The sequence below is a fragment of the Homo sapiens genome, chromosome 14 (genome assembly GCF_000001405.40).
Source record: "Homo sapiens chromosome 14, GRCh38.p14 Primary Assembly".
Taxonomy (NCBI): domain Eukaryota; kingdom Metazoa; phylum Chordata; class Mammalia; order Primates; family Hominidae; genus Homo; species Homo sapiens.
Window position 1 is genome coordinate 101,623,271 of NC_000014.9, and position 27,875 is coordinate 101,651,145.

General features: G+C 43.8%; 1 long non-coding RNA gene across 1 annotated transcript in view, besides 2 other annotated features; it reads right to left on the bottom strand.

Annotated features, from left to right (window-relative positions):
• Positions 54-567: an enhancer, noted in NCBI's record as "H3K4me1 hESC enhancer chr14:102089661-102090174 (GRCh37/hg19 assembly coordinates)". NCBI's record gives its function as "activates a minimal SCP1, AML or CMV promoter by ChIP-STARR-seq in primed H9 embryonic stem cells {active_cell/tissue: H9 hESC(primed)}" and the evidence as "EXISTENCE:reporter gene assay evidence [ECO:0000049][PMID:30033119]".
• Positions 568-1,079: an enhancer, noted in NCBI's record as "H3K4me1 hESC enhancer chr14:102090175-102090686 (GRCh37/hg19 assembly coordinates)". NCBI's record gives its function as "activates a minimal SCP1, AML or CMV promoter by ChIP-STARR-seq in primed H9 embryonic stem cells {active_cell/tissue: H9 hESC(primed)}" and the evidence as "EXISTENCE:reporter gene assay evidence [ECO:0000049][PMID:30033119]".
• LINC02320 (long intergenic non-protein coding RNA 2320) overlaps positions 5,079-27,875 on the bottom strand; it is a 102,958-nt gene continuing 80,161 nt past the window's right edge. Inside the window, exons 2-6 of the long non-coding RNA NR_184269.1 lie at positions 12,046-12,218; positions 11,173-11,409; positions 9,636-9,845; positions 9,143-9,316; positions 5,079-6,134 (exon numbers count right to left, since the gene is read on the bottom strand). This is a non-coding gene — a long non-coding RNA (long intergenic non-protein coding RNA 2320). The remainder of the gene's footprint in view (positions 6,135-9,142; positions 9,317-9,635; positions 9,846-11,172; positions 11,410-12,045; positions 12,219-27,875) is intronic.

The following is a 27,875-nucleotide window of genomic DNA, read 5'->3' on the forward strand; positions in this document are numbered from 1 at the left end:
GTGGCGAGAGCCTGGGTGGGAGACTAGGAGAGGTGAGAGCAGGAGCTACGGGAGGGCAGAGCCCTGGGGTCTAGTCCGCCTACCAGGGCCACAGGGAGCCATGGATGGTGCTAGGCAGGGAGGAACCTGGTCAGATGGGTGGGTTAGGAAGACGGTTCTGGATCTAAGAGGGAAATAGCTCAGGAGGCAGGGGAGAAGGTGTGAGGGAAAATGCAAGGGCCAGTGCAGGCCTGAGAGGCGCTTGTCTGGAGTCCAGGGGTCACTCCTGGCTCTCAGAGCAACGACAGTGGGGTGAGCAGCTTCCTGTGTTCCCAGCTCTGGGAAAAGCTTCTGCTTTCCGTCTCTAGGTCAGTGTCTTCTCCCAGCTCCAGATTCACATGGCCACCTGCCCGGCAGCCACCCCACCCATAAACAGTGAATGGGTGGTTAGCTCCTAACCTGGCCCCTCAAGCTCCTCATCTCCCCAGCCTGCTCCACCACCATCCTCCCCATCTCAGCACCTCCCTCCCTCCAGGGCTTAGGCACCTCCCTCCCTCCAGGGCTCAGACCCAGACCCTGGAGTCACCTTAGCTCCTGTCTGTCACCCCAGCACCTGGCCCACCATGCAGCTCTGCTGTCTCCTCCTATCCAGGTTTATCCCAAATCCAGCCGGTCCCCTCCATAGCCACAGCTCTGGTCTGAGCCACCACCCTGCTCTCCTGTGGATCACAGTAGGGGCCTCTCGGCAGGCAGCCCCAGCCCTCACCCCACATCCTGGTTCTCATGCAGCCAGAAGCACCCCGAAATCCTGCACTGAATCACCACCCTGCTCTGCTCCAAACCCACCAGGAAGGTCCAGCTCACTCTCAGTCCTCACCCACTGCCACACCTGGCCTGGCCCCAACCCTGCCCTGGCCTCATCTCCCACTGTCCACTTTCCCCTCCGCTGGCCTGAGCACTCCTCAAACTCACCAGGCAACTCCTGCCTCAGGGCCTGTGCGCTTGCTGTTCCTGGAATGTCCTCTCTTCTCTCTCTTCCCCCTCCCATCCCCAGGCACATTGTATGGTCCCTGTATTCATTCCATTTAAATATCTCCTCTCCAGCCTGGCTCCTGTGGGACCCCCCTTCCCGTTAGTCTCCATCCCGTCACCCAGATTTTCTCCGCAGCACTGCACCTTCACCCTGCATTCGGTCATGATCGCACTGCTCACTGTCTGCCTCCCTCTCTAGATTGTCAGCGCCCTGAGATCAGGATTCTGACCTTCTTGTTCACAACTGGAACCCCAGTGCCGAGAAGGGGCCTGCTGTGAGCAGGGCAGAGCATGTGCACCCACTGAGTGAGCGAGTGACCATTGCAGCCTCACTCCTGCGCTGCATTCCGCAGCATTCTTTCACATCCATGGTTTCCCCCGAGGCCCCTCAGGAACAAAGGCTCAGAGAGGGTGGGAGAAGTGTGCAGGGTCACACGTGCTTCCCCTCCTCCCTTTATGGGGTCCTGTGGAGGAAGGGGAGGCCTGACTGCACACTGCAGAGGCCAGGGCAGGGCAGAGAGACTCCCACGCATGCTACTCCAGGGATGGGGCCTGGAGGGAGGCTCCCGTGCGTGCTAGTCCAGGGCCTGTGGAGGAAGGAGACGCCTGACCTCACACTGCAGAGGCCGGGGCAGGGCAGGGAGATTCCTGTGCATGCTACTCTAGGGATGGGGCCTGGATTCTTCAGTGGGTCCCTGGGCAAGTCAGGCTCCCTAAATGCCCCACTGTAGGTGCCTGCAGTAACAAGAACAAGAAGGGCAGGGCATGCAGCAAAGCCACAAGGCACAGGCTGCGCACACCTACTGGCTGTGACCCTGAGCAAGTTACATAACTACTCTGTGCCTCAATGCTCTCATCTGTAAAGTGAGAGTAACAATTTCTGCCTACCTGACAGGGCTAAGGGAGGATTAAATGAACCAATATCTGAAAGTTCTCAGCATGATGCCTGGCCGATGAAAAAAACCTCAGAAAGTGTTAGTACTACTACTACTAATAATAATAATAAGCAATAACAATGAAGAGTTCATGGCCCCGTGACAGTGGTGCCTGGCACTGACCTCTGTGTTTGTTCTAATTCTCTCAAGACCCCTGAGAATAACTGCCACACAGATGTCAGCACAGGGGCTGGGCCTCCCTGCCCACTTTCTGCTTCCCAGAAAGTGGCCAACTTCCCCCTGGCCAACTATGCTTTCTAGCCAATATGTAAGTTATGGCTTTTCCTCTGTGGCTCAGCATAGGGAGCAGGGCAGGAGAAAGGCAGGGACTCCACCAAGGTCACACAAAGAGTGCCAGTGGGGCCTGGTCCACCCTTCTCAGGAAGGTCTGAGCTCCCTGTCCTGTGCTCCCATAATACCTAACCTTCACCTTGCAGATGAGTCACTGCAACTGTGCTTGCTCTTTAAGGTCTACCTTGCCTGTAAAAGCCAGAGCTGTTCATGCAAAATTTCCTGCACCTGGGCCTGAGTCAGAGTTGGTTCTCAACCAATATTTTTTAGTGGATGAGTAGGTAGGTGGATGGATGGATGATTGGATGGATGGATGGATGGATGGATGGATGGATGGATGCATGGATGCATGGACTGACAGATGGATAGGTGGATGGATGGTTAAGTAGGTGGGTGGATGGATGGATGGATGGATGGATGGATGGATGGATGGATGGATGGATAGATGGATGGATGCATGGATCGACAGATGGATAGGTGGATGTATGGTTAAGTGGGTGGGTGAATGGATGGATGGATGGATGGATAGATGAGTTCCAGTGTGAATGGATGGGTGGATGGATAGGTGGATGAGTCCTGAGATGAATGGATGGGTGGAGGGTAAGTGGATGAGTTCCAGAATGAATAGGTTTGTGGATGAGTTTGTGGATGGGTTGTGGCTGGGTAGACTTCAGAGACAGCACTCTCCTGGGACATATCATTGAGCCTTTCCCCATAATCTGAAACACAAGGAGGCTTCAATGGTGTGGGATCCAAATGGGATCCAAAAAAGATTCTAAAACCTTCTGAGTCAAGTGCATTTGGCCTCAGTGGGCCTCAGTCTATCCATCATGAAGTTGTGAGAAGAGGACCAGCCTGCCTGTGTTTCACGATTCCCGGGATGAACCCTCCTTAAAGGAGAGGTACAGTAGCACCTTGAAAAGGGTAAGTGCTGCAAAGACCTGGTTTAGAGGATAATGTTAGCCCTGCCAAGGGTACCAAGGGTGCAGCAGGGAGACACGCCCTGCCAGGCCTGTCCTGGGAGCATGCACGGGTTTGCCCTGGCAGGCATGCAGGTAGAGGGAGACAGCCGCCCTCAAGGCACTCATGCCCTCTAACCCAGTAATTCCACTTCTAAGAATGGACCCTAAGGAGGTAGTCAAGGATTTCCAGAGAGACTCACCTATGAGTGTGGTCATTGCAGGGTCAGAAAAGGGAAGATGTCCATGTAATAACAGACTTCAGCGTAAATAACTCATTTCTCTACACTGCAGGGCACTCCTCCACAGCGGAATATTACGCAGCTGTTCAAAGTGGGTTTTTGAAGAATGACTACATGGCATGGGAAACTCTTAAAAGATTACTGGAAAAAAATCAAGATAAGACAAACTGCACGTGGAGTAAGATCTCATGCCTATTGGGAGGAAGTCTCTTTCTGAGTATTTGCTTGGGAAAAAAGTCCTCAATAGGTATATACCAGAACGCCTGGTTATCTCTAGGTGGGGGGATTATAGCGTTTTTTCTTCCTAGTAATTTTCCATATTATCCAAATTGCATTTCAGGGGTGCAGGCCAGGGGGTGGCCCTGAGTGGGCCTCTGTCTCTGAACTTCCTTCCCTGGGGACCAAACAGGAAAACCCCCACCCTTCCCCTCCAGAAGGGAGGGATTCCTAAGGACAGAAGAGCTATGGAGGGAGGAAGTGCCCTGTCCAAGCCCTTTCAAACATCAGGATACATAAAACTCCAGGCCCTTACTGCCTGCATCTTATCTGAGAAGTGGGATTTTTGGAGCTATGTCATTGCCAGCTTTGCTGTCTCTCCGTGTTTTTTTCACCTTCCACTTTTTTTTTTTTTTTTTTTTTTGAGACGGAGTCTTGCTCTGTCGCTAGATTGGAGTGCAGTGGCACGATCTCGGCTCACTGCAATCTCTGCTTCCCGGGTTCAAGTGATTCTCCTGCCTCAGCCTCCCCAAACTCCCACTGGGACTACAGGCGCCTGCCGTCACGCCCAGCAAATTTTTTTTTTTTTTTTTTTTTTTTTTTTAGTAGAGACGTGTTTCACCATGTTGCCCAGGCTGGTCTCGAACTCCTGAGCTCAGGCAATCTGCCCGCCTCGGCCTCCCAAAGTGCTAGGATTACAGGCGTGAGCCACCGCTCCCGGCCTCACCTTCCACATTTTCTACAATGAACAAGAAGAACTTGGCAAGTCAAGAGAAGAAGCAAAGCCATAGAGAGCTAGCCAGGGGCGTTGGCCGGCTGTGGATCTGTCCAGACCCAGGCCGCCCTCCTACGCGGGCCTGCTGCAACCTGCGCTGGGGTTGAGGCAGGAACCAAGCTTGGGGCCAACCGACTGCGTGGGACGTGGCTCCCGGATCTGCCCCTCACCAGCTGAGGACACCGGAGCGTCTCTCTCCAGGACTCAGTTTCCCCATCTGTGAAGTGAGGATAGTCCCACCCCCCAGCTCAATGGATCCCTGCGGGAGGAGGGAATGCGAGGCTGGTTGTGGGTCGGGGGGCCTCTTTCCGATTCTTCCTGAAGAACCCTGCACAGAGGAGACGGGGGACTGGGAGGGGCCTGGGTCTCCGAGTGTGGGCACGGGGAGCTGAGGTCTTGCAGCTCCTGGGTCTGGGGCGCCGGGGTTCTGTGAGAGCCCCAGCTTCGTCACGTACGACTTCCTCTCCTCTAATTGAGGGAATTGCAGAAGCCCCGGAGGGCGGCTGGTTCAGAGACCGAAACAAAGGCAGGATCAGGACCCTGGATCAGAATGGGGTCCACGCGTGAGTCTCTGTAATTAACGCTCTGGTGTCTCAAATTACGAGAAAATATATAAAACATGTAATTGCTTCTGTATTTTGGACACTCATTAGGAGAATAATAAATGTTATTATTTATTAATATGGTAATGAATCATCTCGCTTTTAAAATTAAACATTAAACCGCTAACAAATTAAATGTAAATTATTAGGCCCCGAGTTGATGGAAAGAGTTCCCCGGGGAGGGGCCGCTGGGCTCCTTCTTTGCAGAAATGAGTGCGTCGCCCTTTAACTAGGCGCGGAGGCTGCGAGCGGTGCGGGGTGACCTGAGGACACCCGAAGACACGGGCGACTCGCGGGGACATCCTGCCCCCTGCCGGCCGCGAGCGGGACCGCAGCGGCCCGCGGGTAGCGTCCCGCCGCGGAGGTGGTTTTTCCTTGTGATCTTTCCAGAAGCAGTGAAGCCCTCTTGGGCACCCGCGCCCCTCGCCTGGCAGACAGCCACCCGCTCGCGCACGAACTCGCTGCACAGAGCTGTCAGGAGTGGGGCGTGTGGCCTGGAGCGAGGCTGCTCGCGTAGGCTGGGCCTGGGCTCCTGGCCGTGTTGTCACCGCCAATCCCCACACACGCAAGAGAAAGCAGCTTCTAGCCTCATCTCACACACGGGAAAGTGAGGCTCAGAGATGTGTGGCCTGGCCGGGGTGCACAGCCAGTATCCGGTGGGCCTGGGATGCCAGCCCAGCCTGCCAGGCCCCAGGGTGGCCATCATGGAGTGGGACTCCCGGGCTGGCCCCCCAGAGCCTGTTCCAGGCACGTGCATTTGAATTAATGGGGTTACTGTTTCCTGAGGGCTCTTGCCAGACACCAGCTACTTACTGCACGTGGTTGAGCCCAATCAAGTAGGCAGTGTGCCCTGTGCCCATCTTACGCACGAGCAGACTGAGGCACGGAGAGGCTTCAGCGACTTGCCCAGGTCAGCAGCAAGGAAGTAGGGGCAGGAGAGAGAAGTAGGTCTTGCTGAGTCTAGAGTTAGCTCTTGACCACTCCAGGCCAGACTGGGTTCTCCCTCCTTCCAGGAGGAGGGCAGGCAGCCCCATCTGTGCCCATCCCTGCGGTGCACAAAACAGTGCAGCTTCCGGGCCACTGGCTGTGTTTCTAGGGATCACCTGAGTTAAAGCAAGAAAAGGAATCATTATTTTTTTAACCAATACATGATTTGGGGCTTAGAGGTTGTTTGCAGTCACTCTTATGAAGAATGCTACAGCAGACACCGTGGGTTCAAGGTTATTTCCTTGGGAAAGACTTCCAGAAGTCAAACTGCTGGAACCAAAGGCTGGGACAGCAGGATTTTGGCATGCATGTTATTAGGATCCTTCTCGTATATGTGTCCCAGCTTGCACTCATCTGGGGAGGGACTCAGAAAAGAGGGCCTCCTCCCCTCACAACCAATAGCACCCTTGAGATGGCCCAGGCTGGCAGGGTTGGAAAAGTCCAGCTCATCTATGGTCCAGTTCTCTGGTGGGCACTGACCCTTGAGCCAGCCACACCCACACCCACACCCACACCCATGCCTGTGGGGATCAGAGGTCAATAGATGCAGCCTCCAATGGTCTGAGGCTCCCTGACTTTCCTCCCGCCTTCTCTCCGTGTGTAATCCCAGCCCAGGGCCACCCTTTGGTGGCAAACACAGACACCCCTGTGTCAGCCATACGTATTCAGCCAAGGCTTTATGAGTACCTTCCACTTAGGAACCCTCACTTCTGTCTCTGCCTTCCCTTGCGATTATGAGTCCCAGCAATGGCAGCTGAGCACTCAGGATGCCCACTCCTGGCTCTGACTTTACGTCACTTTCTCAACACGTTACAGGTGAAGAGCCTGCCAAGTGGCCGAGCCACGATTTGGCCCCAGAGCCCAAGTTCTGTTCTTTCCTTGGGTCTCTGCTGTCTGCCCAGGCCTGAGCATGGTCCCTCAGACAGGCTCAGGAAGTATTTGTGGATGAATCAATGAACGACCCCGTGAGGGCCTTTGCCTTTCTCCCCTGCCAGGCTGGGAGCCCCCAGAAGACAAGTGGGGTTGACCATGTGCCTGGAAGGAGTCACGGCTCCTCTCTAGACCGGAACTCCCCACTAGAGCGATGGGGTGCCACAGGGTATCCCAGCAGGCCCGGCAAGCACATCACAGGAGCGTGGAGAAGCGGGACCAGCCGTGCCCCCATCCCTGGGAGCCCTGCCCCCAGCCTTGTCTAAGGCCTCACTTGCCCCATATCTGGTTTGGGGAGCAGGTTTCTCACCCCAATATGATTCTGTTCTCTGCCCCCTCTGCCCTCCTACCCCACACATCCCAGCGTGGATGGACGAGACTTCGCCCCTGCCTCCTGCCCGGGCCCCTGCCATGGGAAGGGGACGCATTATTGCTCTCTCTCAGGGCTATTCAGACACCAACTAATTTATTTCCCTCCTGCCCCCTTCCTTATTGATCAATGCTTTAGCTGAGTGGCTGTTAAATGACTTGTTCCCATAGCAACCATCAGATACATGCTCGGATCTGATGTGTCTGTTTCCTGAGCCAGATCGCCTCCTAAGAGCTTGGAGAGAACAAATCTCCTTTCATATCCGTCGCTGTCTTCTGAAAGGCACAGGATATTGTTCAGAACAAGTCATTTTTTAAAACAATATTAAAAAAAGAACTAGGTTTTTCAACAGATATAAAGTTGTTTCATAAGGTGCATCATTCTTAAGAAGTATTAAATCAGATTTTAAAAGCTTTGACCAAGTTAATCTTTCTTCTGCCTACTTTTCCTTCTGCACAGGGGGAAGTATGGAAACGGTCTCTGCATAAAGATACTCTGCTGCATCATTTATAAAAAGAAAAATTGAAAACAGCCTAAAAGCACAATAGACGATTCAAATGATCTATGGTTCACATACCTGTGAGGGTTTTATAGAGATGCTGAAACGCTGCTTAGAAGAGAGAAACACACATGTCAACAACGTGAAGTGAAAAAAAAGAAACAAGATTAAAAACTGTGTCTGCACGGGTGAGCATAATGAATGGAAAACAAAGCTAAATTATGTAGAGGAAAAAATACTCAGGAAAACAAACACAGTGAAATGTTGACAGAAGTGTTTCTTGTTGGCAGAGCCATGGGATTTTCTTCCTTATTCACTTACTTAATACATATTTATTGAGCACCTACTACGAGCCCAGCCCTGTCTGAGGCATTAACAGCACAACTGCTATTTCTACTGCCTATATTTTCCCAAATGTGTTTAAAACTGTTTTAAAACTATGTATTTTTTTCTTATTTTTGTTTGTTTGTTTGTTTGTTCTGAGACAGGCTCAAGTGATCCTCCCACCTCAGCCTCCCCAGTAGCTGGGACTACAGGCGTGCACTACTACACCCCACTAATTTTTGTATTTTTTGTAGAAACAGGGTCTCGTTGTGCTGCCCAAGCTAGCCTCGAGCTCCGGGCCTCAAGCAATCCACCCACCTCAGCTTCCCAAGCTCTGGGATTACAGGTGTGAGCCACCGTGCCCAGCCAAGTATAATTTTTTTTAATGACAGGGTACATGTTTCACCTGCCACGTTGCCAACAAATAAACATAAGACGCTCTGTTGGTGAGGAGAGGATATAGGAACACCAGCCCCGCCTGGCAGAAGAATGAATGACCACGACCAATAAAGGACCAGTTATCAACACTTAAAACCGACATACTTTTTCCCAGCAATTCCACCTGTAGTCATTGTCCCTACTGGGATTCTCTCCCACCTTTGTCGTGGGATGTTTACGAAGCTTGTTTACCGTGGCATGTGACTGCTGGAACCCCGAATGGTCCTCGCCAGGGGATGGCTACCCAGATCGTGGTTCAGACTCAGGAAAACACTGAGCCCTGAGAAGAACGAGGCGATCTGCCAGTGTGTGGAACACTAAGCTGAGGTCCCTAAGGGACAGAGCAAGGCGGATCACTTGAGATCAGGAATTCGAGACCAGCCTGGCCAACATGGTGAAACCCTGTCTCTACTAAACATACAAAAATTAGCCGGGCGTGGTGGCGGGCACCTGTAATCCCAGCTCCTTGGGAGGCTGAAGCAGGAGAATCCCTTGAACCTGGGAGGTGGAGGTTGCAGTGAGCCGAGATCATGCCCAAGATCTCTGCTCTTCCCCCGTCTTGCCTTAGTGATCCTGGGCATGTCCCTTCACCTCTGCGGCCTCAGTTTCTCATCTGCACAGTGAAGATGCTGATGCCCGCCTGGCTGATGCCCGCCTGGCTGCTTCCTGGACAGATTTCCCAGGATGTGCTGTGTGACAGGCCTTCCACACAGGCCCTCAGGCACCTTTTCTTCTTCCTGAGATGGAAACAACAAAAAAGTTGGTGCATGGTCACCAGCGATCCCCAAACTACGACCTCTGCCCTCTTTTCCTGCAGACCCCTCAAAAATCACGAAAGGGGCCCTTGCAATAGGGGGTCTCTATGGACTCAAACAAAGGGCTTTCCCTGGGAGGGGCTGCCGGCCTTTGCCTATAACATGCGTGATGTAGTTTTTAAGACTAGCAAAAGCCCAGCCTGGCATTATCTAGCATTGAGGTACAGCGTCTCACGGAAAGTTCTTTTTTATTCCCCAGGCTGTCCCCTTCTCCTCCATTCCCGGATAAGCCTTCACTCACCTCTGCACCTCACCAGCATCCACTCAGAGAGACCCAGCCCCTCAAACCCAGCCAGCAGGGACCACGCTGCACATTAAGTTTGCTCAACTGCTCCAGGTTATTTGAAAACTTATGAAACCTTTTTCTTAAAAAAATCAAAGTCCCATTGTGAGAGGGAATCCAGTACTTTCTTAAAAGTACTAACTCAGCAGCTGCAGGAATCTTCCTGACCTAAAGAAAGAGGAAGGAGAAAAAACACAATCACCCCTGGCTTCTGACACGCATACTCCTGGCTGGATTCTAGATTAGAACAAAGGGGACATAGGTCACGGAGCCATTTCTGTGCCTAGACACCACCTTTGATTTTGCAGGGTGGCGCACCAGGGCTTAGCCACAAGGGGGTCGTGATTCAGTGGGTATGAACTCCAGTGGGGGAGTGCGGGGAGAGACAGCAGGCCAGTGGTCCTTCGGGGAAGATGCGGGAGGGGGTTCTTTTTTAATTTTTCTGGTCTGTTCCACATAACTGAATGCCAGGGACCCAACCTGGATGGGTAGGGGGTGCCAGGTGCAGACCTGACTCTGCACTAGGAAGGAATGCTTGTCACCACCGGCAGGCATGTGTGCTTCTCAGCCCGTCCCAGAGGACAATCCCGAACCACTGATCCAAAGCCTTAAAACCCTGCAGAACTTTTGACCCAGGCCCCACTGCTAGGAATGAATAACATAGTAAAGATAGGTGGGACGATTGAGCTACCAGCGTGTTTATGACTACCACGTTTTCAGCAGGTGAAGTGCAAAGTGCCTAATGTTCACAAGAGGGGCTGAGTTGAGCAAAAGCAAATTTCAGTTCAGCCATACCCTAAAATATGAATACAAATATTGCCGTGGCTAATACCATGAAAACTTGGTCTCATCAAACCGTCTAGCAGATTACAAGCACTCTGGACAGTATGTTACTATGCAGAGACATAGGAAAATGTCTACGAAGAAATACACCAAAATGTTAATGACAGTCATCTCTGAGTGACTTCTCTTTGTTAATATCTCTGCATGTTCTGATGTTTCCCACAATAAACTGATGTATCTTTTGTTGATTTCAGAGCGTGGCCTTGAGGATGTTCCTTCACCTCTCTGAGCTTCAGGCTCCTCACCTGTACAATGAAGACAGCACCTGCCTCATGGATTTGCTAATATATGCAAAATGCATAGCTTGCTGCCTGGAAGATAATAAGTACCCAAATGTTAGCTGTTTTTATTTTTCGCTCAATTTTCTACATATAAACATGTCATTGTGCTCCGTGCTGGGGATATGGCAGTGACAGCTAAACTCCAGAAGAGAAAGATTAAACCAACACTCACAGACGATTAATCCGCTGCCGTGAGGACCAATGATGTATTCATTACAGTTAGGGATGCTGTGGTGGGGGGCACGTTGAGAGCATTTATCAGGGGAACTTTGTTGAGAGTTTTGATCATTATCTTAAGAGCAACAGGAAGCCTGACATTGAAGGCTTCAAGCAGAGCTGTGAAATCAGAAGTTCATGGTTTAAGAACTCACCATATCCACACCGTGGACTGAGAGGGGCCCCAGGGAGGTGCCTTCCCAGGAGGCTGCTGTGGGGGTGCGAACCACGGAGGAAGTGCTGCCACGGCAGATGGGGCGAAGTGGACAGACCCCAGCCCCTTCAGGAGGTGCAGTTTGCAAAATCTGGACACAGTGATGCCTCGGAGGGGCTTGTGGCGGGATGGTCGGGTGACCCCAGACCTCTAGTCTGATGTAGTGCGCCGATGGTTCCTGGATACAGAGGACTCAGTGGGGAGCAGGTCTGGGGCGTTGCGGAGTGTGTCTAGGGGAGTGTGTCTGGGGACATGCTGGTTTTGGGTTGCCTGGGCGGGGGAGGAGGGTGTCCAAGGGGATGTCCTGGAAGCAGAGCAGTCTGTGGTCGCTTTGAACTCGGGATCCGCGAGACCCCAGGGGTTCACCTCCATTGCATCCGGGAGAGACACCGGTTAGGGGATGCAGGACTCCCCAGCGCTGGGAGCGCGAGGCCTATCTAAAGGCCAGACGTTCTCAGAGTCCGAGGCTCGGGTACAGGTGTTGCGCCTCCGACGTGGAGGGGCGCGGGGCTGGGAGCCCAAGCCAGGTGCGCGGGTGGCCTCGCTGGTACACGAGGCGGCTCGGTCTCAGAGGGTCAGTGGGGGCCGGACCCTCAGCGTTGGTGGCCGCTTTCCTCTAGGGTGGGCGTATGGCCGCCTCCCCCAGGCAGTCCTCCTGCCTTGCCCGCGAGGCCAGCTCAAAAGCCTTTATGCCCGGGCCGCCCGCCAGGGGCGCCCTTCCCAGCCCGCGCTCGCCCGCTCTGCCTCGCCCACGCTCGCCCCCACCCCTGCCCTGAGCCCTGCATCCCGGGAAGCCCCCTCTGCAGGTACTCACTAAACATCGTGGAATGAGGGAAACAGAGACCCGGAGAGAGGAGCGCGGGGAGAAGAGAGCCCACGATGTTCCCAGCCCTTCTCCCAGTGAGATCATGAGTCATTTTATGTTCCAGCGTCTATGCTTCAACACCTTCCAGATTTTCCTCCGTGAGCTGGCATCTCCTCCGTGAGCTGGTGGAGTCAGAAACCAGCATTTTTCTATCACTGTTTCTGAAGATGTGCTGAATACGAACCAAAGACCAGGGCGCTCCGGGGAGGGGACCGGGCGGGCTCTAGCTTTGCGAGGTGCCAGGGGGTGTTGGTAGGGGCCGTGCCTGCTGCTCCCCCAGCGTGGGGCGGTCCTGGCGGTTTTCTGCTTGCCTCCTGGGCTCCCAGACAGCTTCCTCCAGCCCAGCTTCCCTGGCCCTAGAAGGAGTAAGCAGGCAATCCCTGGGATTTGCTTAAACCACCCACACCCCCAAAAATGTGTGTCCCCCTTTACTGGGAACGTGTTTACAGCTGTGTTATGTGGGGGTGTGTCCCATGCCCAGCGTGGGCCCCTGGTGGTGAGTAGTGTTGGGTACAGCTGGGAGCCTGGACTCCACCTCAGCTCTGTCCCTGGTATGTCCAGGGCCATGCCCGAGCCTCCTTTTCCTTGAATGGGACTCACCAGGTACATCTCCAAAGGAGGTTGTGAGCATTAAGTATCCAGGACTTGCCAGGGTGCTGGCACACAGTAAGCGCTCAATAAGTGCTGGCTACTGTGAGAATAACGTGAAGGGAACTGGATGGGGTGCTGGGCCTTGCTTTCCCCAGTTGCCCATACTCTGGCCCTGTGTGGCTTCCTCCTTTGGCCCGGCCAGCGTGGATGTGGTTGAGGATGACATATGTCTGTGGAAGGCCAGCTGACAGGCTCTGGGACAGCCATGACAAGTTAATGAATTCCGCTGTGGTTACTAAGGCACATGTCTGGGCCACGAGGACTTCTGTCTGCCGCACTGACCTTTAAAAGAGCGCCTCTAATACCCACCAATCACTCATGCTCTGATTGAACATTCAGAAGATGAAACCTGTCTGAGCTGAGAGTGATCAGTCATCCCTGCCGCCCCGTCACTGTCACTCCTTTCTGAATCATAATAAAACTTTGCAAAACTCTTTGGTTCACTCAGCAGCCTTTGCTGTGAAGACGGGGGCACTTTCTGACATACCTGGCGGTGAGGGCCAGCCCCGTACGCTCCTTCACCCACCCCAGCCCACACCGGGCACCCCTTGTGGGGAGGGGGTTCCAGCCCTGCCTGCGTACATAGCCTTTATTTTAATCCTTTAATAACCTTCTCGTTCAGCTTTCCATCTATCCATTGAGAAAACATTTATCAAGGATCACCTCAGTTTAAATGTCTTTGGCCACAAGGAACATAAAACCTGTCTCAAGCTAAAACCATAAAAACATGGATCATTTCATCTAACAGGAAGTCTAGAAGTGGAATGGGGTTCAGGGTGTGTGGTAGCTGGGTGTGGTCCTCAAAGACCCTGGTGCCTTCCATCTCTCTGCTCTGTTTTCCTACCTCTCTACCTCAGCGCTGGCTTCAAATGCAAAATGGAACCAAGATGGTGGCCAGCACTCCACTGTAGCTGGCCCCGACACCTCTCTCAGTGACTCTTTCTCTTTGGGAGTAACGAATCCTAAATTCAGTCACTCTTATTCTGGCACCTAAGATTGTATGGGTAGCCCCTCTCCAGAGAGTGCCCTAGATGCTACACCCAGGGGCATGACCTTGACCTTCCCATCAATCAGCCAACAGTCAGATTTCATCTAGCTGCCAGCTTTTTTAGTGAAGTTCTTTATTCTGCAAAGATATTTAGTTTTCTTTTTGATTAGCTCTTATTTTAATTCCCGCCTTAGAGGTCTATATTTTGTTTCTTTATCTTAGTGGTAATGACTGTTAGTGTTAGGTGCTTCCAAATAAAGCATAATTGATTTTGTTAATTGATATTTACAATTAGCCAGTTCTGATTCCTTTTTTTTTTTTTTTTTGAGAGGGAGTCTTCCTCTGTTGCCCAGGCTGGAATGTAGTGCCATGATCTTGGCTCACTGCACTTCCTCCTCCTGGGTTCAAGTGATTCTCCTACCTCAGCCTCCCAAGTAGCTGGGTCTACCAGCGTGCGCCACCATGCTTGGCTAATTTTTGATATTTTTAGTAGATGAAGGGTTTCGCCATGTTGGCCAGGCTGGTCTTGAACTCCTGACCTCAAGTAATTTGCCCGCCTGGGCCTCCCAAAGTGCTGAGATTACAGGCGTGAGCCACCTCGCCCAGCCACCAGTCTGATTCTTAACAAAAGTTCATAATGAATTATTATTTCAGAAATTTAAATCAATTTGTTTTAGAAACTTAAAAACAATGGTTAGGTTTTTTGTTTTTGTTTTTGTTTTTGTTTTGAGACCGAGTCTCACTCTGTTGCCAGGCTGGAGTGCAGTCACATGATCTCGGCTCACTGCAACCTCCGCCTCCTAGATTCAAGCGATTCTCCCACCTCAGCTTCCTGAGTTACTGGGATTACAGGCCCCCGCCACCATGCCCAGCTAATTTTTGTATTTTTAGTAGAGACAGGGTTTCCCCATGTTGGCCAGGATGGTCTCGATATCTTGACCTCCCAAAGTGCTGGGATTAACAGGCATGAGTCACCACGCCCAGCCAGGTTTTTTTAAAATAGGAATTTAACATACTTTAAGCAAATCAATACATTAATGAGGGACTATCAGCATTTACAGCACCAGGAAATCTATCTTTTAAAAAGGTTCATTATTATACATGTGTGTAGATAATAGTCACATTGCATGCCATTTTCAGCAATTTAATTCCTGAATTAAATGAAAATCAACACTTTAATACATCCTATTTTATTTAGTCCATGCTTCAATTTTTTTATTTTTGTTTATTTTTAAACTTTTAATAATGCAGACAGCCTTTTTAAAATCAATCTTCAGAAGCTGTAAAGGCCTCTGGTCTCCTTAAGCATTTCATATCCAAATTGATGTACTTTTACAGATATTTTTATGTTCTCTGTAATTGACAATATTTTAATTAAGACTGGAAAGTTATAGTCACAAGACAACCAATAATTCCCCCCAAAAGTCTAAGTCGTTAGTTAGGCAACATAATGAGAACTATCACACATTGGGATTCGTGTGCTCCTGACAATTATCCCTTTTCTGCCTTAAAGTCTTATTTGGATGGGAGAATTATCCAGAGAGGCAAGGGCGCCAAGTGGCCGGCACCACCTCACCACGCAATGTGCTTTTTGCCCAGAAAAAAAAGCTGTGACCTTTTCTAAGCATCCACAAGCACGAATTAAGAAACAAAGTTCTTGGCTAAGATCGATTGCCCCAGTATCCGATGGAGCCCAAGGAGCTGGTTACAAGGTCCAGCGATTACAACCTAAAGCCGAAATGACTCACGTAATTGCAGAATCGCTCATTCTAACAGCCTGATTGGAAATTGTCAACACTGTGTCTGGGACTAATGAAGCAAAGGAAATGGAAAAGGTGACATTTTCAAATAATATTATTAGTAAACGAATTGACAACATGTCAGATGACAAAGATGACACCAATCCAAAGTCTTATTAAGTCAAAAGAAGTTTTCATTGCAGATTGATGAATCTATATATTAATACATTACTAATTGGGCTCAGTTAATAGCACTAATTCGAATCCCAAAAGAAAAAGGCTGGGGAGGACACTGTTTGTTCTTTTGAGTAGTCCCAAAACAAATTACTGGGAATGAACCATTCAAACTGGACAATTAATACTTCGAGACACATAGCTCATGGTGGAGGCCCTGCTGTGTTGCATACAGATGTGGCTGTAATGATGGAAGGAATAACAGCTCTCCACCAAGAGTTTGTTCTAGAAAACCCTGAGATGCCAGTAATGCATGGCATTATTCACAGCCTCTGGTATAGAAAGTTTGCGTGCAGATCTGACATCCACGTTAAATTACATGATCAAATGACTGACTCTAATAAAATCCAAGCTGTGACAGAACCGTCTGTTTCAATGTTATGTGAAAAAAAAAAGTGTCATCAGAATACTGGGCTCGGCTGTTCCATGCCAAAGTGGCTGTCCAAAGAATGAGACTTGTCGAGAGCTTAAGAGCTAAGAGAAGAAATGGGGGTGGAAAAGTGTAAATGATTCTCACTTAGCTTCTCACTCGGCTTCAAAAAATGATGTACTTAACTTGACATTTTTGAGCACCTGAATGAACTTAATTGGAAATTGCAAGGACTGTCAGGCCGAGCTGTCCTTCCACCATTCGGGCTATGAAAAGCCGTTTCAAATGTGCAAGAACCCAGGAAATATTGTACTCACAAGCCCTTCCCAAGAAAGCTACCAGAAGGCTGGTGGAGAACATTAAATATGTATAATTGTAGGTCTCAGACTAACAGAAAAACAGAGACCAGAGTAGAAGAATAATAGATAACTATTATATGTTCTGACAAAATAGAAATAATGAACTTAAAATGGGAGGAAAAAAAGAGAGAAAGGGGAAACAGAACAAACTCATGGATTGTCACATAAATAATAGGTGGCAGACAAAGGATGTCACTTCATGCTGACAAACCAAATACTATTAGTTTGCACTGTGTGAAACTGACAATATCTGACCATCTTTTCCCTACAAAAATGCTAATCCTATATTGCTCAAGCTAATTAAACATTACAAAGGATATTAGAATAAAGACAGTCACTCAATCAAAAACGCAAACATGTCTAAATTGCAAAAGAAATGTAAAAACAAAAACACACTACAATGTAGGTAAACCATGAAAATACTATGCTTAGTGAAATAAGTCAGGCATAAAATGACAAATGTCTGATTTCACTTATATAAAGTACTTAGAACAGGCAAATTCATAGAGACAGAAAATAGAATAGAGGTTACTATGAGCTGTGGGGAAAGGGGAGATGGGGAGTTATTGCTTAATGGGTACAGAGTTTCTGTTTGTGGTAATAAACTATTTTGGAAATAATGGTGATAGTTGCAAAACAACCTAAATGTACTTAACACCACTGAATTATACACTTAAAAATGGTTAAAATGATAAATTTTATATTATGTGTGTTTTACCATATGTTTGAAAACTAATGTAATAAACCAAAAACCACTGACTTGTACACTTTAAATGGGTGAATTGTATGGTATGTGAAGTAAATCTCAAAGCTGCTTTTTAAAAACATAACAACACAGAAATAAAGGAAGTTATGCTTTAAAAAAAATAAGAGCAAGGAAAACAGACAACATTAAATATTGAGAAAGAAACAATAAATATTATATACAATAACATAGTAGAATGGAGACCAGCATATCAGTTATAGCAGTAACATGAATAGGTTTAACTCACTTACTAAAAGAAAAAGATTTTCAAATTGGCTTACATAGCAAGCCAACACTCTAAACACAGAGATTTAGACTGAAAATGAGGAAAATGGCCACAAACAAGCAGGGATTTGACTCTGCTTATTTATGGCCATCATTTTTCAGACAAGGTAGAATTCAGGCCAGAAAGCATCAAGCGTGAAAAAGATGTTACATTATTAGGCCAGTGGAAATTGAACAGTTAAGAATACCTGTGTGGCAAGAAGCACAGCAACCACTTTATAAAGCAAAAGCTACAGGAAATATAAGAAGAAATAGACAAAAACATACTACTAATAGGAGACTTATACACTGCTCCTAGTCAAATGAACAACAACAAAAAAGCAAGGTTATGGAGTAACTGAACAGTATAATCAATAAGGAAGATCTTCTGGTTATGTGTAAAATTCATATCACAACAAACAAAGATATACCTTGTTCTCAGATATGCATAGAACATTCACCAAAATAAACACACACACAGATCACAATACTCTTCATAAAGTAGAAATTATACAAATAATCCTTGTTGGTTATAGTACATTAAAACTAGACATTAAAAACTAATTCAAAAAGCAAATTTTTTGCCTGAAAATTTAAAATCTCTCTCAAATAACTGTCAGCTGAAAGTTAAAATACAAATGGAAATTGCAGAGCTTTTTTTAAAAAAATATAATGGCAATGCTACATATCGGCATTTTGGGGATACTGTAAGATGGTTATCAAAGAAAAATTCATAACCTCAAATACTCATATCAGTAACAAAGATAAGTGAACTAACTTTCCAATTCAAAAAAATTAGAAAGTTAACAAAGTAAACCAAAAGAATGTGCAATAGGGAAATAACAGAGATAAAAGTAGCAGGAAGGTAAAATGATACAGCCAATTTGGGAAAACAGTCTGGCAGTTCCTCAAAAAGTTAAACAAAAAAAAAAAAAATTACCATATGACCCAACAATTCTGCTCCTAGGAATATACCCCAAAGAAATGAAAGCATATGTCCACACAGAAACTTGTACATGAATTATTCATGATGCCCAAAAGATAGAAACAACCCAAATGTCCTTCAATGGATGATGGATAAACAAAATGTGGTCTATCCATACAAGGGAACATCACTCAGCCATAAAAAGGAACAAAGTGCTGATACCTGCTACAACTTGGATGTACCTCAAGAATGTTAAGTGAAAGTAGCCAGACACACAAGGTCACATATTGCCTGGTTTCTTTTATGTGATATATGCAGATTAGACAAATCCACGGAAACAGAAAGCAGCTTTTCTAGGAAAGTACAATTTACCGAAATTGATCCCAGTAAAGATAAGAAGTTGAAGCCATCTAGTTCCAGAAAAGAAATAGAGAAAATTGTAAATATATGTAAAAAGAAATAGAATAAAACAGAAGCCAACAAAATTGGTTAACTATAAGAGTAGACACCTTAAATACAAATTTGTAAATGCTCACCTCCACTCATAGTAAGGGAAAGGAAAGAAAATGAGACTTCTCTGTACCTTTTTTAACTATTTTGACTTTTAAATCATGTTAATATATTATACATTTATAAAATAAAATTAAATAAGATTTGGGGGAACACACTGAAATCAACAGAAACAAGCGGAGATAACTGTATATCAGTTTGATATCATGACCGCATAGAAGAAAATGATAATAACTACAAACACTTTTTGAACACATCGATCTGTTTGTGTAGAAGAAGAACTTAAAGAAATCCTGGACTTTATTGAAAAATTTGCTGTTGGTAGTGGATTTGGGGCTGCAGTCCCTAAACTATTTTCTGTTCATTGTAAGATTGAGCAAAAAGTAAATATATGGATGTTATTGAAAAGCAGGGTTCTTTTGGAGAGAAGGGGGATTCAAAAATGAAACGGGAGGAGGGGAAGAACTTCAAGATGTTGGAATGACATTAGAAGTACTGGTATGAAATAATTTTTGAGTATTTACTTTTTATCTGTCTCCACTAAACTGTCCTAGAAGCTGTTTAATAGGCCTGGGGCAAGGGAAGTAAAAAATATTTGTGCCAGAAAGTAAGGAAGCACTCAAAACTGCTAGAGACATGTCAAAAGTTTTCAAGAACACTTGAAGAGGCTATCGTCTGGAAAATTTGTAAAAATGTTATCCTCAATGTACTATAATGCATTAAATTTTAAAAAGAAATTCTGAAGGGCAGTGGGATTCTGACTCTAGCCATGACAGAATGACTTGTAGAGCTAATCCTCTTACTGACAACAACTGCAAAAGATAGTTAAAACGGCCGGGCGCGGTGCCTCACGCCTGTAATCCCAGCACTTTGGGAGGCCAAGTTAGGCGGATCACGAGGTCAGGAGATCGAGACCATCCTGGCTAACACGGTGATACCCCGTCTCTACTAAAAATATAAAAAATTAGCCGGGAGTGTTGGTGGGCGCCTGTAGTCCCAGCTACTCGGGAGGCTGAGGCAGGAGAACGGCGTGAACCCGGGAGGCGGAGCTTGCAGTGAGCCGAGTAGAGATCGCGCTGCTGCACTCCAGCCTGGGGGACAGAGCGAGACTCTGTCTCAAAAAAAAAAAAAAAAAAGATACGTAAAACATATAAGACAATTATATGAAGGCATTAGAGACCAGCCAAGGCCAACAGAACTTGAAGGGTTATGAACACTGAGAGAAGGTAAGTACATGACATACATTTCACAAATATCCTCACATTTTCCATAAGGGCATTTTCTACTTCCCAATTCAGAAAAACAAAGTCCAAGAAGAAAGCAGAAGTCTTTGCAAGTTTAGGAGACAGAAGTTGGAGTTTAGAGCTGCCTAACCATCTGGGACTTAGGGGATAAAATTCTGAGGTGGTGGGAACCATGAGGAAGTAAGCATAAAACTCTCTGTACAATTCAAATTAGAGTTTTATAACTAGAGTGTTAAACGTAATCACCACAGTAACCACAAATAAAATAGCTAAATAATATACCAAAAAAATGGAAATGAGAAAGAAGTTTAAGTGTGTCGTCAAGACGAAAAAGAAACGAAGGTAATAAGGGACAAAAGAGCTACGAGGCTTAGAGAAAACAAATAGCAAATAACAAAATGACGGAAATAAGTTCTTCCTTCTTGGAAACTACTTTAAATGTAAATGGATTAAACTCTCCAATCAAAAGTGATTGGCAGAGTGGATTTAAAAAGCACGATCCAACTATATGCTGTCCACAAAAGGCTCACTTTCCATCCAAAGACAGAAATAGGCTGAAAGTGAAGAATGTAAAGATATTCCATGAAAATAATAACCAAAAGAGACCAGTAATAGCTATACTAATATCAGACAAAATAGATTTTAAATCAAAAAAGCTTATAAGAGACAGAAAAAGACTTATATATTAGTAAACCATTCCATACAGAAAGATGACATAAACAGTTATAAACATTTTCACAACTGGTATATAAAGCATCAAATATGTAGAGCAAAAACTGACAAAACTGAAGAAAGAAATAGATCTATAACAATAGTTGGACAATTCAATATCCCATTTTTAATAATGGATAGAACAATCAGACGGAAGATAAGTAAGGAAATATAGGACTTGAACAACACAATAAACCAATTAAATCTAATAGACATGTACAGAACACTGTGCCCAATAACAGTATACACATTCTTCTCAAGTGTTCACGAGATATGTTCCAGGATAAAATATATGTTAGACTACAAATTATGCCTTAATTAATTTTAAAAGATAAATATAATACAAAGTGTCTTCTCTGACCACAACAGAATGAAGTTAGTAATCAGTCACAAAAGGAAAACTGGAAATTTCAAAAATTTGTGGAAATTGAACAACACACTCTTAAACAGCCAATGGATCAAAGGAAAATAACAAGAGAAGTTAGAAAATACTTAGAGATGAATGAAAACAGAAACAAAACACACCAAAACGTATGTAACACAGCAAAATCAGTCCTAACAGAGAAATTTATACCTATAAATCTTCCTTTAAAAATTAAGAAAGATCTCATATCAACAACCTAAATTTACAACTTAAGGAACTAGAAAAATGAAAACAAACTAAGCCCAAAGCTAGCAGAATGAGGAAAATAATAAAGATTTAAAAATTTTTAAAGAAAAATAATAAAGAAAATCAACAAAACCAAAAGTTAGCTCCTCAAAAAGATCAACAAAATTGACAATTCTTTAGCTAGATAGACAAAAAAAAAAAGGAGGGAGAGCAAGAGCACTCAAATTATTGAAGTCAGAAATAATTTCTAAATTACTGGGAGTATTACTACAAATTCTACAGAAATAAATAGGATTGTAAGAGAGCACTATGAATAATTGTACATCAACAAGTTAGATAACCTAGATGATATAGACAAATGTCTAGAAACCCAAAACCTGACAAGACTAAAATGTGAGAAAATGGAAAATCTGAATAAACGTATAACTGGAAAGGAGATTTAAGCAGTAATTTAAAATCTTCTGACAAAGAAAAACTCTGGACATGATGGCTTCCTAAGTGAATTCTAAAAAACATTTAAAGATGAACAAATACCAATTCTTCTCAAACATTACTAAAAAATTGAAGAGAACACTCCCAAACTTATTCTATGAGGCCATCATATGCTGATATCAAAGCCAGACAAAGATACCACAAGAAAACTACAGACCAAGATTCCTTAGAAAATTATGCAAATTTCCTCAACAAAATACTAGCAAACTGAATTCAGCAACATATTAAAAGAATTATACAGCATAACCAAGTTGTATTTATTCCTGAAATGCAAAGACATTTCAACATATAAAAATCAATCAATATAATACACCACACTAACTAAAAGGGGGAAAAAAAGACACGGTCATCCTAACTGATATAGAAAAAGCCTTGTATAAAACTGAACACATTTTCATGTTAAAAACACTCAACAAGTCAGAAATTGAAGGAAATTGCCTTAATGTAATAAAATCCATATATGAAAAACCCACAGTAAACATCAAATTCAGTAGTGAAGGACTGAAAGCTTTTCCTCTAAGATCAGGAGTAAGGTAAGGATGCTACTGTTACCACTTCTATTCAACATAGTACTGGAAGTCCTAACTAGAACAACTGGGCAAGAAAAAAAGGAATCCAAATTGGAAATAAAGAGGCAAAATTATCCCTGTTCACAGATGAATTGTATGTAGAAAACTCTAAAGATTCCACCAAGAAAAATATCTATTATAGCACTAATAACAAATTCAGCAAAGTAACAGGATACAGGGTCAACAAGCAAAAATTAGGGCATTTCTGTACACTGTCATTGAACAATCCAAAAAGGAAATTAAGAAAATAATTTCATTAATGGCATCAAAAAGAGTAAAATTCTTAAGAATTAACTTAACCAAAGGATAAAAGATATGTACAATGAAAACTATAAAATATTGCTGAAAGGAATTAAAGAAGACATAAATAAGTGGAAAAACATCCCATGTTCATGGATTGGAAGGCTTAATGTTGTCAGGATGTCAGTACTACTCAAAATAATCTACAGATTCAAGGCAATCCTGATCAAAATCCCATTAATGTTTTTGCAGAAATAGAAAAAGTCATCCTACAATTTATGTGGAAGTTCAAGGGATCCCTAATAGCCAAAGCAATCCTGAAAGGAAAAAAAAGAACAACAAAGATGGAGGAATAACACTTCTTGATTTCAAAATTTGATACAAAGCTATAGTAATCAGAACAGAGTGGTACTGACATAAAGACAGACATGTAGACCAATGGAATAGAACAAAGAGTCCAAAAGCTTTGCATATATGGTCAAATTATTTTCTACAAGGATGCCAAGACCACTCAATGGGGTAAAGGCAGTCTTTTCAACAAGTGATGCTAGGAGAACTAGATACACACATGCAAAAGAATGAAGTTGAACCCTTACCTGAAACCACATACAAAAATTAACTCAAAATGGATTAAAGCCCTAAACATAAGACCTAAAATTATGAAACTCCTAGAAAAAACATAGGGCAAAATCTTCATAACATTGGATTTGGCAGTAATTTTTTGGATGTCATACCAAAAGTACAGGCAACAAAAGAAAAAAATAGAAAAAATTGACTTTATGAAAATTGAAAAATTTTATGCATCAAAAGACATAATCAACAGAGTAAAAAGAAAATCTACATTACAGAGAAAATACACAAAACTCTTTAAACTCAACACCAAAAAACAAACAACCTGATTCAAAATTGAGCAAGGATTTGAATAGACATTTCTCTAAGAAGTCCACAAATGGCCAATAAGCACAGGGAAAGATGTTCAGCATCACTAATCATTAGAGAAATGCAAGTCAAAGACCTCACACCCATTAGGATGGCTATTTAAAAAAAAAAAAAAAAAAAAAAAAACAGAAAATAAAAGTGTTGACAAGGATATAGAGTGATTAGAGCCTTTGTACACTGTTGGTGGGAATGCAAAATTATATAGCCACTGTGGAAAATAATATAGCTGTCCCTCAAAACATTAATAATAGAATTACCATTTGATCCAGCAATTCCACTTCTGGGTATATACCCAAAATAATTGGAAGTAGGTTCTCACAGAGATATTTTTACAGCCATACAAATAGTACCATTATTCACAATAGCTAAAACATGGTAGCAACTCAAGTGTTCATTGATTAATGAATGAATGAATGAATGAATGAATGAGCAAAATGCATTTTATATATTACTGGAATATTGTTTGACTTTTTAAAGAAAATAAATTCTGACATACGCCACAGCATGGATGAAGCTTGAGTGCATTGTACTAAGTGAAATAAACCAATCACACAAAGCCAGTCACAGACCATACCTTAGGAGTAAGGGGAAACTGAAATAGGCCAAACCTAACAGAGCTTAAAACTAATGCTCAGCAAGATCAAGGTGGCCTGTTACTCTGCATGCCAGAAGAAAAAGTTAGCTCTCTCAGGAGGAAAATAACGTTGTCCATAGTCTCTTCATATTTACACTTATAAGGGCTGACATCCAAACAAAAATTATGAAGCATGCTGAAAAGTGGGGCAGGGTTCTGGGAGGGTAACAAAATGGCTAAAAACCAAGAGATGAAAACAAACAATAGAAACAGACCCACAGGTGATTTAGATAGTTGATCTATCAGTGAAGAAATTTTAAAATAACTATGATTACTATGTTCAAGAAAACAGATAAATTCACTAAGGACTTGGAGTTTATAATCTTACAATATTCTAATGGGAATTCTAAAAATGAAAAATATTAGAAGAAAAAATTAATAGATGGTAGTAGGAGCAAAAGGAAAGAGAAAATCCAGATTGAATCACAGAAATAAAAAATCTAATGAGATTGGAGACTATTATTCTAAGTGAAGTAACTAAGGAATGGAAAACCAAATATCATAGGTTCTCACTGATATGTGGGAGCTGAGCTATGAGGATGCAAAGGCATAGGAATGATACAATGGACTTTGGGTACGTGGGGGTAAGAGTGGGAGGGGGACAAGGGATAAAAGACTACAAATGTGATACAATATATACTGCTCAGGTGATGGGTGCACCAAAATCTCACAAATCACCACGAAAGAACTTAGTCATGTAACCAAATAAAAACTGTACCTCAATAACTTATGGAAGAATAAAAAATAAAAAAACTAATGGAGAGAGTGTCTCATACACACAGAACAGACTGCAGCCTCAAGATATTCATAACCAGAGATGATTGAAACTAACTAGACCAACAACCCGCAACTGACCCAGTTCCTAATCAGTTCTTAATCCTATCTTCTTTGTGGCCTTGTCAAAAATTAGTTGATTGTACATGCTTAGGTTTATTTCTGGGCTCTCTATTCTATTCCATTGGTCTGTATGTGTTTTTTATACCAGTATTATACTGTTTTGATACTATTGCTTTGTAATATAATTTAAAATCAGGAAGTATGATGCCTCTGGCTCTGTTTTTCTTTATATATATACACACACACACACATACACACATATATGAAAAGAATATGTATACACACAGTTTTTTAGTTTTAATTGACAAATAATGATGGTGTATATTAATGGAGTACAATGTGATATTTTGTGACACGTATACATTGTGAAATGATAAAAATCAGGCTAACTAACATATCTGACATCTAACTTTTTTTTTTTTTTTGAGACAGGCTCTCACTCTTTCACCCAGGCTGGAGTGCAGTGGTGCAATCATGGCTTACCGCAGCCTCAACCTCCCAAGCTCAAGCAATACTCCTGCCTTAGCCTCCAGAGTAGCTGGGATTATAATGCCACCATGTCTGGCTATTTAAAAAAAAAATTGTAGTGTCTCACTGTGTTACCCAGGCTGGTCTCAAATTCCTGGGCTTAAGCAATCCTCCTGTCTCGGCCTCCAGAGTAGCTGGGACTACAGGCACATGTCACCATGGGTGGCTATATTTTTTTAATTTTTTTGTAGAGATGGGGTCTCACTGTGTTACCCAAGCTGGTCTCAAACTTCTGGACTCAAGCAATCCTTCCACCTCAGCCTCGCAAAGTTCTGGGATTACACGTGTGAGATGCCACACCCAGCCATTATCTTTCATTCTGTTAACGTGGTATATCACATTGATTGTTTTGCACATGTTAAAACAATTTTGCATCCCATGAAAGATCCCACTTGGTCATGGTATATACTCTTTTTGATGTGTTGTCGAATTTGGTTGGCTAGTATTTCATTGAGGAATTTTGCATCTATGTTCATCAGAGATATTGGAATGAGAAAGACAATCACTAACACTGAAATGATATCGATGTTGGGATTCTCCAACAAGGATTTAAAGTGGTTCATCATAATGTGCAATTATAAACATGCTTGAAACAGATGAAAACATATAAAGTCTCAACAAAGAAATAGAAAATATAAAGAAGAACCAAATGGAAATTCAAGGATTAGAAAGTATAATAAGCCAAAATGTAAGAACTCACTGAATGGGATCAACAGCATAATAGAGAGGACAGAGGGAAAAAAATCAGTGAACTTGAAGATAGAATAGAAATCAGTAAATCTTAACAGAGAGAAAATGGAATGAAAAATATGAATAGAACTTCAAGGACCTATGCAATGATAACAGAAGGTCTAATGGTCTAAGCGTTAGAGTTCCAGAAGAAAAAAAGAAAGAGGATGGGGCTAAAAACTATTGGAAGAAATAATGATGGAAACTTTCTCAAATTTGGCAAGAAACATAAATCTACAAATTAAAGGAGATCAAACTCCATACAGGATAAATGCAGAAAAATCCACACCAAAATGCATCATAATCAAACTTCAGAAAACTAACAACAAAGAAAAAAATCTTCACACACTGAGAAATGACACATAACCTACAGGGGAAAACCATTCGAATGACAGTGGATTTTTCATCAGAAACCATGGAGGCTATAAGGAAGTTATGTGATATTTTTCAAGAGAAAATAACTGTCAACCTTTAATTCTACATGGAGCAAAACTGTCCTTTAGGAATGAAAGAGAAACAAAACATTGTAACATGAAAGAAAACTAAGAGAATTTGATGCCAGAAGATCAACCCTAATGGGCTGGCCAAAGGAAGTTCTTGAAACAGAAAGTGATAAAAGAAGTAACCTTGGAACATCGGGGGGAGAAAAGGGAAGAATATAAGGAGCAAAAAATGGGTAAACACAAAAGAGTTTCCTTCTCTTTTGAGTTTTCTAATTTATATTTGATAGTCAAACCAAAAAGTATAACAGTGCCTGATGCAGACATCAATGAATAGAGAGAAAATGTTAAGGCAATTCTATTATAAACAGGGGAGGTAAAGAATGCAAAGGGAAGAAGGTTTTACATTTCACTCAAGCTAGTAAAATGTTGGCTCCGACAGATCTTTGTGGTATGAAATAGGTCTGTAACTTGATTGCAGTAGTGGTTACATGAATCTACATATGCCATAAAATGGTATAGAGCTATACACACACATGACACCAAATGTCAGTATCTTGGTTTTGATTTTGCACTATAATTATATAAAGTGTAACTATTGAAGAAATTGGATAAAGAGTGCATGGATCTCTCTGTGCTATCTTTGCAACTTACAGTAAATCTATAATTATTTCAAAATAAAAAGGTTTTTTTTAAAATATGAGGTAAAATAAAGACATTTTTAGAAAAAACAAAATCTAAATCATCACCAACAAACCAGCAATACAAGAAATACTTAAGCAAATTAATAGCCCCAGATGGGAACACAGAATCATGAAAAAGAATGAAGAGTATGGGAAAGAGTTAATAAGTGGGTAAATATGTATTTACATTATTTATAAATAATGTATGTCAACTATTTGAGACAAAAATATTAAGGTGCTATGTGATCATAAAAATGAAGCAAAAATATATGAAAATTAACATAAAGAGCAGAAGGGGAGCCAGGCACCGTGCACTCACCTGTATTCCCAGCTATTTG